General features: G+C 38.1%; 1 protein-coding gene across 72 annotated transcripts in view; it reads left to right on the top strand.

Moving 5' to 3' along the window:
• The window catches only part of SNAP91 (synaptosome associated protein 91), a 156509-nt gene that overhangs the window by 65598 nt on the left and 76119 nt on the right, over positions 1-14792 (top strand). For all 72 annotated transcript variants that reach the window (NR_164843.1, NR_164844.1, NR_164845.1 and 69 more), the window contains one exon: positions 2594-2700. Coding sequence is in view for 68 of the 72 variants with exons in the window: in NM_001242794.2 (NP_001229723.1) it covers positions 2594-2700 (107 nt within the window). In the remaining 4 variants the exon portion in view is untranslated. The remainder of the gene's footprint in view (positions 1-2593; positions 2701-14792) is intronic.

The following is a 14792-nucleotide window of genomic DNA, read 5'->3' as shown; positions in this document are numbered from 1 at the left end:
CTACAGGGGAGGTCCATGTAAAAAGTTAAAATTACCCAAAGACTGTCAACAGAAGGTAATGAAGTGTAACTGCTCTTGATAATTAGTTCTTTGTGTAATTATATATTACTAAACTTCCCTTAAGAAAATTAAAAATACTTCTGAGGTAGTAAAATTACATGCTGAATGAAATAACTCTCAAGTATGAGACAATATTAAAATAGCATATGTAACCAAAACAACATGGTACCGGTATCAAAACAGAGATATAGACCAATGGAACAGAACAGAGCCCTCAGAAATAATACCACACATCTACAACTATCTGATCTTTGACAAACCTGACAAAAACAAGAAATGGGAAAAGGATTCCCTGTATAACAAATGGTGCTAGGAAAACTGGCTAGCCATATGTAGAAAGCTGAAACTGGAACCCTTCCTTACACCTTATACAAAAATTAATTCAAGATGGATTAAAGACTTAAATGTTAGACCTAAAACCATAAACACCCTAGAAGAAAACCTAGGCAATACCATTCAGGACATAGGCATGGGCAAGGACTTCATGTGTAAAACACCAAAAGCAATGGCAACAAAAGCCAAAATTGACAAATGGGATCTAATTAAACTAAAGAGCTTCTGCACAGCAAAAGAAACTACCATCAGAGTGAATAGGCAACCTACAAAATGGGAGAAAATTTTTGCAACCTACTCATCTGACAAAGGGCTAATATCCAGAATCTACAAAGAACTCAAACAAATTTACAAGAAAAAAACAAAAACACCATCAAAAAGTGGGAAAAGGATATGAACAGACACTTCTCAAAAGAAGACGTTTATGCAGCCAACAGACACATGAAAAAATGCTCATCATCACTGGCCATCAAAGAAATGCAAATCAAAACCACAATGAGATACCATCTTACACCAGTTAGAATGGCGATCGTTAAAAAGTCAGGAAACAACAGGTGCTGGAGAGGATGTGGAGAAATAGGAACACTTTTACACTGTTGATGGGACTGTAAACTAGTTCAACCATTGTGGAAGACAGTGTGGCAATTCCTCAGGGATCTAGAACTAGAAATACCATTTGACTCAGCCATCCCATTACTGGGTATATACCCAAAGGATTATAAATCATGCTGCTATAAAAGCACATGCACACGTATGTTTATGGTGGCACTGTTCACAGTAGCAAAGACTTGGAACCAACCCAAATGTCCAACAATGATAGACTGGATTAAGAAAATGTGGCACATATACACTGTGGAATACTATGCAGTGATAAAAAATGATGAGTTCATGTCCTTTGTAGGGACATGGATGAAGCTGGAAACCATCATTCTCAGCAAACTATTGCAACGACAGAAAACCAAACACTGCATGTTCTCACTCATAGGTGGGAATCGAACAATGAGAACACTTGGACACAGGAAGGGGAACATCACACACCAGGGCCTGTTGTGGGGTGAGGGGAGGTGGGAGGGATAGCATTAGGAGATATACCTAATGTAAATGATGAGTTAATGGGTGCAGCACACCAACATGGCACATGTATACATATGTAACAAACCTGCACGTTGTGCATATGCACCCTAGAACTTAAAATATAATAAATATATATATAAATTAAAAAAAGAATACTGAAAAAATAGCATATTTTAAACCATGTGCAAATATAAAATAATGAACTTATAAAGAAGATGCTAGGCCATCAGGTATAAACCAGAGTTGCCTGGGAACTACTGTAGGCAGACATGGCCTGCTGTGTCTCCATCTGCAGTGTCAATAATTATTGACTGAATGATCAATGAATAACTGATTAAAACACTGATGAAGTACTGGTTTTCTTCAAAGCATGTATGGAAAAATTATACTCTCATATTGCAAGGGTAATGGAGCTGTAGTTCCCTAATGACAGCATTCTAGTCTTGAGAGTGTGAAAGAGAACAGCAAAATAAGCTTCTGTTTTTCTGTCTAGAAAGCTAAAGGTTGAGAAAGAGAGCATAAATAGACTAGAAAGTCATGAAGAATATAGTAAAACAAATTTTTTCACAAAAGTCTACTGTTTTATAAATAAAAGCCACATCATGATGTTTGAAAGAAATAATTTATGACCAATAAAAGCAAGTATCAACTTAGTGTAGAAAACTTAAAGAATTCTTTAATTCAGGAAGGTTTATTGATTATTGTCTTATAATTTATAGATTATTAGTTTATTGCGAGCTAATAAGAAAATAAGGATTCTGTAGAATGCAGTCATAAATTTTGAGATTATCCTTAGGAAGAATTTGCTGCTGTTTTCCAAGACAGGATATTGGATATGGAACATGAATTTAGCCAGTTGTGGCAATTCATATATTCTTCTACTTTAGTTCTGTTTTCATTATTTAAATTGTTTTATTTGAGACAGATGATTATCTTGGAACATAACACTTTTCTTAATCTATTCAGGTTCCCTTTGTTTAGGTGCCTTAATACCTCATATAAGTTTTACTGCCAAGTGTTTTGATTCAAACATTAATTAAGTTTTGAGTAGTAATCTTAACATAAGCTTAGAAAAAAATAGAACATAATACTCTTTTCAAATTGCTTATCTCTTTATCTTCTCTAGAAAAGTTTTTTGAAATGAAGAAAGGACAATGTAAAGATGCTCTAGAAATTTACAAACGATTTCTAACTAGAATGACACGAGTGTCTGAATTTCTCAAGGTTGCAGAGGTAAGTAATATTAAGTTTTCTTGGGAATATAATTTTTTAAATATTTGCTCATGTATCTGGAGTATATATAATAGAAGGTGTAAGAGAGTCACAGTATATTAGGGTTGGAAGTGCCTCGGAGTCACAGTATATTAAGGTTGGAAGTGACTTTGGAAGTCGTGTCATCCAACTTCTCACTCAGAGCTGTACTCTGTACTCCTGCATCCTAATCAGATGATCATTCTGCATTCAAATAAAAGTTTCATGGATAATAAGCTCATTTGCTGCTTTGCAAGGTGGTCCATTCCTCCATTCCACCTAATAGCTATCTTTAATTGTTAGAAAATCCTTTATTTTCATTGAACCTTAGGTTTGCCTTTAGAAAAGCCTGTTTATTATTCTTAGCATGTAAATGATAAATCATAAATTCTTACCTTTCTTACTTTGGCAATGATTTATACACAATGAAAAATAAGACAGAAAGCATAATTTGTTTTATAAAGTTTATAAATTCTTTCTTCAGAATGTGTCTTTATACTTGATTAGAATACCTGTGTAACTATGCAGTTGGTGTTCCTGAAATTATTTGTGAATTGGTATTTTCTCTTATAAAATCCAATTAATGATTCATGCTGATATTGGAAATTATAACATTGTTATTATAGTCCTTTGGAAGAATGACAAGTGTATTTTTATCTTACATGTCAATTAACTGATTACTAGGAACTGATTGGAATGTTGTATGAAAGAGGTTCTAAGGCTCAGCAGCAAACCATACAATGCTGTGGATGTGGGACATTCATGCCATGTTTTTGCTGTTTTTGTCATTTTGAGAATATACTGCATAAACAAGCATTTTATACACACGATTTAAGAAGTACTCTAGTCCATGCATTGTGTTTAAAATCTTTTATTCATAGAAGTAATAATTGTCACATGAAAATTCTGGGACCAAAATAATATCACAAAATGCTGATTCTTGAACTTTCACCCATACAACATGTAGTTAGAATAAAAATCTTTTTTAAATATAAGGGAAACAAAAGATAAAGATTAGCTTATGTAAATTGTATATACATTAAAGCACATTCACGTTTCTTTCCTCATGGGTTTATCAGTGTTGGTAGTCTTTAAGAAATGATAGAATTGCTTAAAATTTTTTCTTTTGCTGCTATACAGGTGTTTTTTGTATTTGGTATGATTTTGCCATGGTTTAACCGTAATTATCAGCCTAATCTAGTAAAATTTGCCTAATTTCTTTCTGTGAAAAGATAAATTATGCCTGAGTACGGAGAACAGATTATTTTGTTTCATTAAATCTTGGTGTACATTCATCCCAGTTTCTCATTTGTTATTGTATGTAAGTAAGGAGCTGGCATGTGGCAGTCTGGGGTATACACTTCTCTAATCAGCATTACAAGGCTGGGCTCATGATTCCCATGAGAAAAGTTCTACTTATGTGTCAATTCCTTCTGTTTTAACATGTAAAATTTTACTTTTTGTCTGTTGATACCTCATGTTAGCACAAGCCCACCTGAGGCCATTAAGAAAGAGATCTGCAAAAATCAGATATCATTGTAAGAGTCTGTCTTTAAATAACTGGATAATAAATTTAAAAATTATTTTTATTTGAACATTATGATTAAGACTTTTTCATAGAATGAATACTAATTTACAAAATTATTTTTAATAGAGTAAACATTAAATCACAATGGGACAACCATAACCATTTGTGTTTTCTTTCACATTTAAATCACATTGTTCATAATTTGGACACACAATGTTTGAATACCAGTGTTGAGTGGTTTTGTTATGATTGGTTAATATAGAAATTTTTCAACCAATGTACAAATCTCTCTCTACTGTATAGTACTCATGTGGTCGATGTATGGATTCATACTCAATAGCTATCCCATAGTTAGTAACATTTACCTGAAGAGTCTCAGGAAGACTTCTAGAATATGATTTTCAAAATACAACTTTATATATTGGTTATTTGGGAAATAGTAACAGTAAGTTGCTCATTGTATTAAAGAAAAGGTAAAGTAGTTGAACAAGTTCTATGGAACTATTCAAATTTCTTAAATTGCTTGAAGTACAGAAAACTTACTATGCCTTATATTCTTATCTGAAGTCTCCTATGGCAGACAAGTAAAACTTGGTAAAATAATTTTTACTGGTAAGATATATTTCTGCTAAATACTCTTCTCTTTCATAGAACCAAGTTATTCTTAGTTTTCTATTCTAAGGTAGATATCGGAATCGTAGGAGCTACATCTCCCAGAATATTTGCAGACAGAAAGTGATGAGATTTCTGTAACACACTTTAATCCTCTAATGATATTGTGGTTCAGAAGTTCAGAGCAATAAAAATAGCAATGTTGAGGAAGAATTCCTAAATTGTCTCTTTGAACACAATTATCCATTTAATGGAAATACATCACCTTTTCCTGAACTGATTTCAGTATTAGGGATCCATAATATTTTTATTTTAAAAAATGCCTCTTTCAGTGCCTTCTTATCACAGTAGGCAGCGAGTCAGTCTCATAAAAATGCCTCTTTTGTTCATATTAATATTTTTAAATGGATCATCTAAAGTGGTGTTAAAACATACAAATAAACAATGCAGTTGCTTTAACTGATAATTTCCCTAATTTGTAATAATATAAGTGGCTTTAGGGAAGCATCAGTGGCTAAACTGTTCCTAAAGCCAAAGTTCAGTCATTAGAAGGATAATTCCAGAGAGGGAAGGAAGACAGCCAACTAGACAAAGCTAGCAAATGCCTCTCCCACCAAGAGGAACCAAAATATCGAGTGAATCATCATGCTGATGATCAACAGATCTTTTGAGAGAAAATACTGAAAATCAATAGAGAGGCAACACAGTTGCCTTCAACATAGTTGAAGAGGGAGGAAGCCGGGAAACCTGCTCGGAGCCACCACATGCCAGCTGCAGTAAAACATGACCATAGGTGCCCATCCCCCAAGGCGCTCCATCTTGCTCTGCAGTTCCTGTTCTCTACTGGCCAGGACCATTGCTGCAGGACCAGGATGAATGCCCCCTCACCTGCTGGCCCCTCCCAAGATTTCCTGCCTGGCCACTCCCACAGGAGGATATCCACAGCGCAGCCCCCGCGCTTCCCTACCTGAGTGTTTTGCTGGTGGCCTGGAAGCAGTCTGGCACCCCCAGCACAGCCAGTGCTTAACCCCGAGGGGCCAGAAGACAAATCTGCAGGCCTGGTTTCAACTCCCTGGGACTCAAGCACACTGCCCACGAGTATCGTGCTGAGATCTATGGCCTGAGCTCAAGTGGAGGAAGAGCTCCCAGTGTCAGAACAAAAAGAAGATTGTGACTTAGGTTCTTATGCTGGTGCAGGTTCTTGTACAAATGTAGGAGCTGGGTGTCCCTCCCTTCACAAGACCCATCTGAGAAGGGTGCCGCCTGAAAGCCACATCTTCTTTCCCAGGGAGCCCTGCAGCCCACATCATCTGGAACAGCTCAGTGATCTGAGAGCAGAAGGCTTGGAACAAGTCTAGCCAGTCAAAATGCTCCTGGGGCAGACACTGGAGGAAGACCTGTTGGGTCAGAGGAGCACAAGCTGAGTGGGCCCCACAGCTGTCTGCCAGGCTGGAAACCCTGGGCCACAGGCACTTTTCCACTTGCGTATACATGATACCATTGCCCTGCCCAGGGATTCTTCACCCCAACCCACTGCAACACCAGACCGCTAGTAGTCATATCCCACAACCTGCTCTGACTCTCACAAGCACAGTGGGCCCCCCAAGAGTTAGAGATCTCCTGATGATCTCTCAGCTGGGACCATCCCTAAAGGGAGAGGGTAGCACAGCCTGCCAAAGCCCCCTTTTGAGCAAAGAAAACATGGGTGCAGCACCAGTACTTGAAGGGGACAGCACCAAGGCCCAAGGCCTGGAAACAAACTTGGACTGAGACTTATCTCTTGGCCCCTGCCTCCCCTCCCCAGAGCACTGCCACATACGCACTGAAAAATAAGAGGTGTCTGGCTGAGTAAGAGTATATCTGCTGGCCCTGATGTCACTGTGAAGAGCTGTCTACGAGACTGCAACCTGAATGGCACCACCAAACAAAAATACATTGTTTCACCGTGCAACACCTCTGAAATGCACCACAGGAGCCCATCTATAACCTCAGAACCTAGAACAGAGCCTTGACCCTCTGAAAGCGCTCAGAAACGAAACCGATCAACTATATACAACATTCACCACAGTCAACCCTTACGGGAAAAAAGAATGTAAAAACAAAAAGCCCTATCCAAATGAAAGCAAATTGACAAAGAAAAAGAAAAGCCAGCTCCCTCAGACGAGAAGGAATCAGCTCAAGAACTTAGGCAATGCAAAAAGTCAGAATGTTTTGTTTACCTCTAAAGGATGGCATTAGCTCCCTAGCAATGAATCCTAACCACATTGAAATGTCTGAAATTATAGACACAGAATTCAGAATCTGGATGGCAAGGAAGCTCAATAAGATCCAAGAGAAATTTGAAATCCAATACAAGGAAGCCAGGAAAATGATCCAAGATATGAAAGATGAGATAGCTATATTTAAAAAGAACTAAACTGAACTTCTACAATTGAAAAGTTCACTACAGGAATTTGAAAATGTAGTTGGAAGCCTTAATGACAGACTAGATCACACAGAGGAGAGAATTTCAGAGCTTGAAGACGAGTCCTTTGAATCAACCCAGACAGACAAAAATAAAGAAAAAAGGAATTTTACAAAATGAACAAAACCTCCAAGAAATATGGTGTTAAGTAAAGCAACCAAACCTACAATTCATTGGCATTTCTGAGAGAGAAGAGAGAGTGAGCAACTTGGAGAACATATTTGAGGATATAATCCACAAAAATTTACCCAGTCTTGCTGGAGAGATTGACATGTGAATACAAGAAATTCAGAGAACCCCTACAAGATACTATACAAGATGACCATCCCAAGGCACAGAGTCATCAAGCTTTCCAAGATCAACACAAGAAAAAATCTTAATGGCAGCTAGAGAAAAGGAACAAATCACCTATAAAAGGAACCTCATCAGGCTAACGACAGACTTCTCAAAAGAAACTTTACAAGCTAGAGATTTGTAGCCTATTTTTAGTATTCTTAAAGAGAAGAATTTCCAACTAAGAATTTCATAACCTACCAAACTAAGCTTCATAAGTGAAAGTGAAATAAAATCTTTCCCAGACAAGCAATTGCTAAGGGAATGTGTTACCAATCAACTGGCCTTAAAAGACGTGCTTAAGGGAGTTCTAAACTTGGAAACAAAAGAAACCTGCTACCACAGAAACACATATAAGTACATAGTCCATAATTCCTACAAAGCAACTTCACAGCTGAGACTATAAAGCAACCAACTAACAATATGATGACAGGAATGAAACCTCACATATGAATACTAACCTTGATGTAAATGGTACAAACACCTGACTGAAAAGACACAGAGTGGCAAGTTGGATTAAAAAAAAAGATGTACTGTCTTCAGTACATCCATCTCATGTAATGACACGCATAGCCTCAAAGTAAAGGGATGAAAAAAGATCCACCATCCCAATAGAAAACAAAAAAGGACAGAGGTTGTTGCTCTTGTATCAGATAAAATAAACTGAAAACCAACAACAGTAAAAAAAGAAAAAGTACAAAGAAGGACATTACATAATGATAAATGGTTCAATTCAACAAGAAGACTTAATTTTCAGCCAGAGATGAGAGATTAGGGGGGAAAAAGACTTAACTATCCTAAATATATACACACCCAACATTGGAGCACCTAGATTTATAAGAGAAGTACTTCTTGACCTAATAAAAGACAGACAGCCACACAACAATAATGAGGGAGTTCATCACCCCACTGAAAGCATTAGACAGATCATTGAGGCAGAAAACTAACAAAGAAATTATGAACTTAAATTTGACACTAGACCAATTGGACCTAATAGACATCTACAGACTACTCCACCCAACAACCGCAGAATGTATGTTCTTGTCACCTCTACAGGGTACATACTCTAAGATCCACCACATGCTCAGCCATAAAGCAAATCTCAATAAATCAAAAAAATCAAATCATAACAAGTATATTCTTAGACCACAGTAGAATAAAAATAGAAATCAATACCAAGAGGAACTCTGAAAACCACACAATTACATGGAAACTGAACAACTTGTTCCTGAATGACTATTGGGTAAACAACAAAATTAAGGCAGAAATCAAAACATTCTTTGAAACAAATGAAAACAGACACAACATACCAAAATATCTGGGAGGCAGCAAAGGCAGTTTTAAGAGGAAAGTTTATAGCACTAAACACCTACATCAAGAAGTTAGAAAGATCTCAAATTAATAACCTAACATCACACATAAAGGAACTAGAAAAACAAGAACAAACTAATCCCAAAGCTAGCAGAAGAAAACAAATAGCCAAAGTCAGAGCAGAACTAAATGTAATCAACGAGAAGTGGGGATCGTGGTGACTGGGAGGCAGGACTAGATTGCAGCTCCAACTTGAACCAACAGAGCAGCATATGGAGGCTCGCATTGTGAATTTTTGCTCCAGAATGACTGCAGGAATAAATCAGGAAACCTGAGATGACCCACAGACTCCCTGAAGAAAGCAGATTGCTCCTACCAGACCCAGAAGACACCCCAAATACTATGAGTGCCCAAACTGTGGAGGCAGGAAAGGGAGATCCTCTGCCCCTGAACACACACCCCGCACTGGGGAAACCGTAGGCCTAGATAACAGGAGAAGATTTTGACCTTACCTGGAACTGAGTCAATTTAGAGAGCCAAGCAAAATACAGGGATAGAAGAAGCAGTGAAAAAAATCCCTGTGGGCTTACTGGGTCCCCTAGCAAGCCGTTTTTGCCTGGCCTTACAGGGGTCCTTCAGGACGGTGGCCAGAGGCACTGGGAAAAGGCCACAGGGAGAAAGAAATCTCCAGCTGAACTTTGTAACAATTTTTTTTTAATTTTATTATTATTATACTATAAGTTTTAGGGTACATGTGCACAACGTGCAGGTTTGTTACATATGTATACATGTGCCATGTTGGTGTGCTGCACCCATTAACTCGTCATTTAGCATTAGGTATATCTCCTAGTGGTATCCCTCCGCCCTCCCCCCACCCACAACAGTTCCCAGTGTGTGATGTTCCCCTTCCTGTGTCCATGCTGATTGAGAAGCCTCTTGGCCAGAACTCGGGGGAGGGTGTGAATCTGTGTGCAGACACCACAGGCAGGGGAAGAAGAAAAGCTGTATTTGCCTTCGCAGCTGGGAGTTGGGTAGCCTGGGGCAGATTCTGAGATGTGCTTGCCCACTGCCTGGAAACACATTCAGTGCTGTTGCTGGGGGGCACAGTGGGAATGAGACTGGTCCTTTGGATTGCATGGGAGCTGAGTGAGGCCTGTGACTGTCGGCTTTCCCCCACTTCCCTGACAACCTGCATGACACAGTAGAGACAGTCATAATCCTCCTAGGAACATAACTCCATTGACCTGGGAACCTCACCCCCAACCCCCACAGCAGCCGCAGCAAGACCCGCCCAAGGAAAGTCTGAACTCAAACATGCCTAGCCCTGCCCTTGCCCAGTGGTCCTTCCCTACCTACCCTGGTAACTGAAGACAAGGGGCATATACTCTTGGGAGTTCTAGGGCCCTGCCTCCCACCTCTTCCTCCCCATACTACCACAGCTGACACTGTCTAGAAAGTGCCACCTCCTGGCAGGAGGCCAACCAGCACAAAAATAGCGCCTTAAACCACCAAAGCTAAAAACCCTCACAGAGTTCATTTCTGCCACCTCTACCAGAACAGGTGCTGGTATACATGGCTGAGAGACCCACAGACAGTTCACATCACAGGACTCTGTGAGACAACCCCCCAGTACCAGCCTGGAGCCTGATAGACTTGCTGGGTGGCTAGATCCAGAAGAGAGATAACAATCACTACAGCTTGGCTCACAGGAAGCCACATCCATAGGAAAAGGGGGAGAGTACTACATCAAGGGAAGACCCCATGGGACAAAAGAATCTGAACAACAGCCTTCAGCCCTAGACTTTCTGTCTGACAGAGCCTACCCAAATGAGAAGGAACCAGAAAACCAACTCTGATAATATGACAAAATAAGGTTCTTTAAATCCTCCAAAAAAATCACACTAGCTCACCAGCAATGGACCCAAACCAACAAATCCCTGATTTACCTGATAAAGAATTCAGGAGGTTAGTTATTAAGCTAATTAGGGAGGCACCAGAGAAAGGCGAAGCCCAGTATAAGGAAATCCAAAAAATGATACAAGAAGTGAAGGGAGAAATATTCAAGGAACTAGATAGCATAAATAAAAACAATCAAAACTTCAGGAAACAATGGACACACTTATAGAAATGCAAAATGCTCTGGAAAGTCTCAGCAATAGAATTGAACATGTAGAAGAAAGAAACCCATAGCTCAAAGACAAGGTCTTCAAATTAACCCAATCTAGCAAAGAAAAAAGAATAAGAAAATACGAACAAAGCCTCCAGGAAGTCTGGGATTTTGTTTAACAACCAAACCTAAGAATAATTGGTGTTCCTGAGGAACAAGAGAATTCTAAAACTTTGGAAAATATATTTGGGGGAATAATTGAGGAAAATTTCCCCAGCCTTGCTAGAGACCTAGACGTACAAATACAAGAAGCACAAAGAACATCAGGGAAATTCATCACAAAAAGAACATTACCTAGACACATTGTCATCAGGTTGTCTAATGTTAGGATGAAGGAAAGAATCTTAAGAGCTGTGAGACAGAAGCATCAGGTAACCTATAAAGGAAAACGTTTATAGTTATACCTTTAAAGGTATAACTATACCTTTAAATTATACATTAGCAGCAGATTTCTCAGCAGAAACCCTACAAGCTAGAAGGGATTGAGGCCCTATCTTCAGCCTCCTCAAATAAAACAATTATCAGCCAAGAATTTTGTATCCAGTGAAACTAAGCTTCATATATAAAGGAAAGATACAGTCTTTTTCAGACAAATGAATGCTGAGAGAATTCACCACTACCAAGCCACCACTACAAGAACTGCTAAAAGGAGCTCTAAATCTTGAAACAAATTCTGGAAACACATCAAAAGAGAACCTCTGTAAAGCATAAATCTCATAGGACCTATAAAAAATATATAATTTTAAAAACAAAAACAAAAAACCAAGGTATACAGGCAACAAATAGCACAATGAATGGAATGGTACCTCACATCTCAATACTAACATTGAATGTAAATGGCCTAAATGCCCCACTTAAAAGATACAGAATTGCAGAATGGATAAGAATTCACCAGCCAACTACCTGCTGCCTTCGAGAGACTCACCTAACACATAAAGACTCACACAAACTTAAGGTAAAGGGGTGGAAAAAGACATTTCAGAAAAATGGGCACAAAAAGTGAGCAGGAAGAGCTATTCTTATATCAGACAATACAAACTTTAACAGCAGTTAAAAAAGACAAAAAAAGGACATTATATAATGATAAAAGTCTCGTCCAACAGGAAAATATTACAATCCTAAACATATATGTACCTAACACTGGAGCTCCCAAGTTTGTAAAAACGATTACTAATAGACCTAAGAAATGAGATAGCAACACAATAATAGTGGGGGACTTCAATACTCCACTGACAGCACTAGACAGGTCATCAAGACAGAAAGTCAACAAAGAAACAATGAATTTAAACAGTACCCTGGAACAAATGGACTTAACAGATGTATATAGAACATTCCATCCATCAACCACAGAATATACATTCTTTTCAATAGCACATGGAACTTTCTTCAAGATAGACCATATGAGAGGCCACAAAATGACCCTCAATAAATTTAAGAAAATTGAAATTATATGAAGCACTCTCTCAGACCACAGTGGAATAAAACTGGAAATCAACTCCAAAAGGAACCTCCAAAACCATGCAAATACATGGAAATTAAATAACCTGCCCCTGAATGAGCATTGGGTCAAAAACGAAATCAAAATGAAAATCAAAAAATTCTTCGAACTGAATGACAGTAGTGACACAACCTATCAAAACCTCTGGGACACAGTAAAGGCAGTGGTAAGAGGAAAGGTCATAGCCCTAAATGCCTACATCAAAAAATTTGAAAGAACACAAACAGACAGTCTAAGGTCACACCTCAAGGATCAAGAGAAACAAGAATGAACCAAACCCAAACCCCGCAGAAGAAAGGAAATAACCAAGATCCAGAGCAAAACTAAATGAAGTTGAAACAAAAAACAATACAGAAGATAAATGAAACAAAAAGCTGTTTTTTTTTTTTAAGATAAAATTGATAGACCATTAGCAAGACTAACCAAGAAAGGAAGAGAGAAAATCCAAATAAGCTCAGTAAGAAATGAAATGGGAGACAGTACAACTGACACCACAGAAATACAAAAAATCATTCAAGGCTACTATGAACACCTTTACACACATAAACTAGAAAACCTAGAAGAGTTGGATTAATTTCTGGAAAGATACAATCCTCCTAGCTTAAATCAGGAAGAATTAGATACCCTGAACAGACAAGCAGTGAGATTGAAATGGTAATTTTTAAATTACCAACAAAAAAATGCCCAGGACTAGACAGATTCACAGCAGAATTCTACCAGACATTGAAAGAAGAGTTGGTATCAATCCTATTGACACTATTCCGCAAGATAGAGAAAGAGGAAACCCTCCCTAAATCATTCTGTTAGCCCAGTATCACCCTAATACCCAAACCAGAAAAGGACATAACCAAAAAAGAAAACTACAGACCAATATTTCTGATTAACATAGATGCTAAAATCCTTAACAAAATACTGGCTAACTAATCCAACAACATATCAAAAAGATAATCCACCATGATCAAGGGTTTCATACCAGGGATGCAGGGAAGGTTTAACATATGCAAGTCAATAAATGTGATACACCACATAATCAGAATTAAAAATAAAAATCACGTGATCATCTCAATAGATGCAGAAAAAGCATTTGACAAATTCCAGCATCCGTTTATGATTAAAACGCTTAGCAAAACTGGCATACAAGGGACGTACATCAATATAATAAAAGCCATCTATGACAAACCCACAACCAGCATAATACTGAATGGGGAAAAGTTGATAGCATTTCCTCTGAGAACTGGAACAAGACAAGAATGCCTACTCTCACCACTCCTCTTCAACATAGTACCGGAAGTCCTAGCCAGAGCAATCAAACAAGAGTACGAAATGGCATCCAAATTGGTAAAGAGGAGGTCAAGCTGTTGCTGCTTGCTGATGATATGATTGCTTACCTAAAAAACCCTAAAGACTCCTCCAGAAAGCTCTTAGACCTGATAAAAGAGTGCAACAAATTTTCTGGATACAAAATTAATGTGCACAAATCAGTAGCTCTTCGATACACCAACATTGACCAAGCAGAGAATCAAATCAAGATCTCAACCCCTTTTACAATAACTGCAAAAAAATAAAATACTTAGGAATATACCGAACCGAGGAGGTGAAAGACCTCTACAAGGAAAACTACAAAACACCGCTGAAAGAAATCATAGACAACACAAATGAAAACACATCCTGTGTTCATGGATGGGTAGAATCCGTATTGAGAAAATGACCATACTGCCAAAAGCAATCTACACATTCAATGCAATTCCCATCAAAATTCACTATTCTTCACAGAATTAGAAAAAAACAATTCTAAAATTCATGTGGAACCAAAAAAGAGCCCACATAGCCAAAGCAAGACTAAGCAAAAAGAACAAATCTGGAGGCATCACATTACCTGATTTCAAGCTACACTATAAGGCCATAGTCACTAAAACAACATGGTACTTGTGTAAAAATAGGCACATAGACCAATGGAACAGAACAGATAACCCAGAAGTAAACCCAAATACTTACAGCTTACTGATCTTCAACAAAGCCAACAAAAACAAAGTGGGGGAAGGACAACCTTTTCAATAAATGGTGCTGGGATAATTGACTAGCTACATGTAGGAGAATAAAACTGGATCCTCACCTCTCACCTTATTCAAAAATCAACTCAAGATGGATTAAGGACTTAAAT

This window comes from Homo sapiens, chromosome 6 (assembly GCF_000001405.40).
Source record: "Homo sapiens chromosome 6, GRCh38.p14 Primary Assembly".
Classification (NCBI taxonomy): domain Eukaryota; kingdom Metazoa; phylum Chordata; class Mammalia; order Primates; family Hominidae; genus Homo; species Homo sapiens.
This window is presented reverse-complemented; position numbering and strand designations above follow the sequence as displayed.